The sequence below is a fragment of the Homo sapiens genome, chromosome 4, assembly GCF_000001405.40.
Source record: "Homo sapiens chromosome 4, GRCh38.p14 Primary Assembly".
NCBI classification, from domain to species: domain Eukaryota; kingdom Metazoa; phylum Chordata; class Mammalia; order Primates; family Hominidae; genus Homo; species Homo sapiens.
In genome coordinates, this window is record NC_000004.12 from 136,594,207 (window position 1) to 136,597,378 (window position 3,172).

At 38.4% G+C, this 3,172-nt stretch overlaps 1 annotated feature.

Moving 5' to 3' along the window:
- Positions 421-1,620: an enhancer, noted in NCBI's record as "BRD4-independent group 4 enhancer chr4:137515782-137516981 (GRCh37/hg19 assembly coordinates)". NCBI's record gives its function as "activates an origin of replication core promoter dependent on BRD2, P300/CBP, MED14 and CDK7 cofactors, and independent of BRD4, by STARR-seq in HCT116 cells {active_cell/tissue: HCT116}" and the evidence as "EXISTENCE:reporter gene assay evidence [ECO:0000049][PMID:35650434]".

Genomic DNA, 3,172 nt, shown 5'->3' on the forward strand with positions numbered 1-3,172 from the left:
ATACACACAACACTGGTACACCAAGATATATAAAGCAAATATTATTACAGCTAAAGAGATAGACTCCAATACAATAAGAGTAGGAGAATTCAACAACCCATTTTCATCACTGGATATATTATCCAGAGAGAAAAATCTAGACAGAATCTTCAGACTTAATCTTCACTATAGACCAAGTGGACTTAGTAAATAATCACAGAACATTGAATCCAATAGCTGCAGAATATACATTCTGCTCCTCAGCACACAGATCATTCTCAAAGATATATCGTATATGTTAGCACAAAAAGCAAGCCATTGAGAAGTGAAGCCAGCTGGGCTTCTGGGTTGGGTGGGGACTTGGAGAAATTTTCTGTCTAGCAAAAGGATTGTAAACACACTAATCAGCACTCTGTGTCTAGCTAGAGGTTTGTAAACGCACCAATCAGTACTCTGTGTCTAGCTCAAGGTTTGTAAACACACCAGTCAGCACTCTGTGTCTAGCTAATCTGGTGGGGACTTGGACAAATTTGTGTCTAGCTAAAGGATTGTAAATGCACCAATCAGCACTCTGTGTCTAGTTAAAGGATTGTAAATGCACCAATCAGCACTCTGTCAAAATGGACCAATCAGCTCTCTGTAAAATGGACCAATCAGCTCTTTGTTAAATGGGCCAATCAGCTCTCTGTTAAATGGACCAATCAGTAGGATGTGGATGGGGCCATATAAGGGAATTAAAGCAGGCCAGTTGAGCCAGCAGCGGCAACCTACTCAGGTCCCCTTCCACCCTGTGGAAGCTTTGTTCTTTCGCTCTTTGCAATAAATCTTGGTGCTGCTCACTCTTTGGGTTTGCACTGCCTTTATGAGCTGTAATACTCCTTTATGAGCTGTAACACTCACCACAAAGGTCTGCAGCTTCACTCCTGAAGTCAGCGAGACCATGAACCCACAGGGAGGAACCAACAACTCCGGACGCCGACGCCGCCTTTAAGAGCTGTAACACTCAATGCAAAGTCTGCAGCTTCACTCCTGAAGTCAGCGAGACCATGAACCCACCAGAAGGAAGAAACTCTGGACACATCTGAACATCTGAAGGAACAAACTCCGGACACACCATCTTTAAGAACTGTAACACTCACTGCTAGGGTCTGCAGCTTCATTCCTGAAGTCAGCAAGACCAAGAACCCACCAATTCTGACATAGTTACTATAAGCAACTATATGCCAATGAATTGAAACACCTAGAAGAAATATATAAATTTCTAGACATGTACAACCTACTACAATTGAACTATGAAAAAAAAAAGCATGAATAGACCAATAACAATTAACGTGATCAAAGATGTAACAAAAAGTATTCCAGCAAAGAAAAGTCTGAGACCTGACGGCTTCACTGCTGAATTATACCAAACATTTAAAGAGAAACTAGTGGTAATTCTAGTCAAACTATTCTGATAAATAGAAGAGAGTGGAATACTTCCAAATTTATTCTACAAGGTTAGTATTACCCTGATAACAAAACCAAAGACACATGCAAAAAGGAAAACAGACCAATCTTGTTGGTCGATATTCATGCAAAAATTCTCAACAAAACACTAGCAAACTGAATTCAATGACACATTAAAAAGATCATTTGGGAAAATGCTTCCAGATTTTGTCCATTTAGTATGATGTTGGCTGTGGGTTTGTCATAGATGGCTCTTAGTATTTTGAGGTATGTTCCTTCAATACCTAGTTTATTAAGAGTTTAACATGAGGTGCTGTTGAATTTTACAAAAGGCCTTTTCTAAATTGATTGATACAATCATGTGGTTTTTGTCTTTAGTTCTGTTTATGTGATGAATCACATTTATTGATTTGCATGTCTTCAACTAAACTTGCATCCCAGAAATAAAGCCTACTTGATCATGGTGGATAAGCATTTGACTTGCTGCTGGATTCAGCTTGCCAGTATTTTGTTGAGGATTTTTGCATCAGTGTTCATCAGGGATATTGGCCTGAACTTTTTCTGTTGTGTCTCTGTCAGGTTTTGGTATCACGATGATGCAAGCTTCATAGAATGAGTTAAAAAGGAGTCCTTCTTCCTCAATTTTTTGAAATAGTTTCAGCAGGAAGGGTGCCAACTCTTCTTTGTACATCTGGTAGAAATCAGCTGTAAATCTGTCTGGTCCTGGGCTTTTTTTTTTGGTTGGTACGCTATTTATTACTGATTCAACTTCAGATCTCATTATTGGTGTGTTCAGGGATTCACCTTCTTCCTGAGTCAGTCTTGGGAGCAGGTATGTGTCCAGGAACAGTCACGTTAAGAGCCAAGTCAGAAATGCAATCCCATTCACAATTACCACAAAAAGAATACAAACCTAGGCATACAGCAAACCAGGGAATGGAAAGATCTATACAAAAAGAAATTCAAAACACTGTTCAAAAAAAACTAGAGACGATGCAAACAAATGGAAGAAACATTCCATGGATAGGAAGAATCAATATCATTAAAGTGTCAGTACAGCCCAAAGCAATGTATAGATTTAATGCTATTCCTTTGAAATTACCAAGAACAGTCTTCACAGCACTAGAAAAAAAACTGTTTTAAAATTCATATGGAACCAAAAATGAACTTGAATAGCCAAGGCAATCCTAAGCCAAAAGAACAAAGCTGGAGGCATTATGCTACCTGACTTCAAACTATACTATGGGGTTACAGTAAAAGAACAAACAAACAAAACCCAGCATGGTACAGGTACAAAAACAGATACACAGACAAATAGAACAGAATAGAGAATCCAGAAGTAAGACTGCACACTTAAAACAATCTAATCTTTGACAAATCTGACATAAGCAAGCAATGGGGAAAGGACTACCTCTTCAATGAATGGTGCTGGGATAACTGGCTAGGCATATGCAGATTGAAACTGGACCCCTTCCTTACACCGTATATGAAAATTAACTCAAGATGGATTAAAGACTTAAAAGTAAAACCCAAAACTACAAAATCCCTGGAAAACAACTTAGGCAATATTATTCTGTACTTAAGGATGGGCAAAGGTTTCATGACAAAGACACCAAAAGCAATTGCAACAAAGACAAAAATTGAGAAATGGAATCTAATTAAGCTAAAGAGCTTCTGCAAAGCAAAAGAAAATGTCAACATAGTAAACAGACAACCTACAGAATGGGAGAAAATATCTGCAAACTAT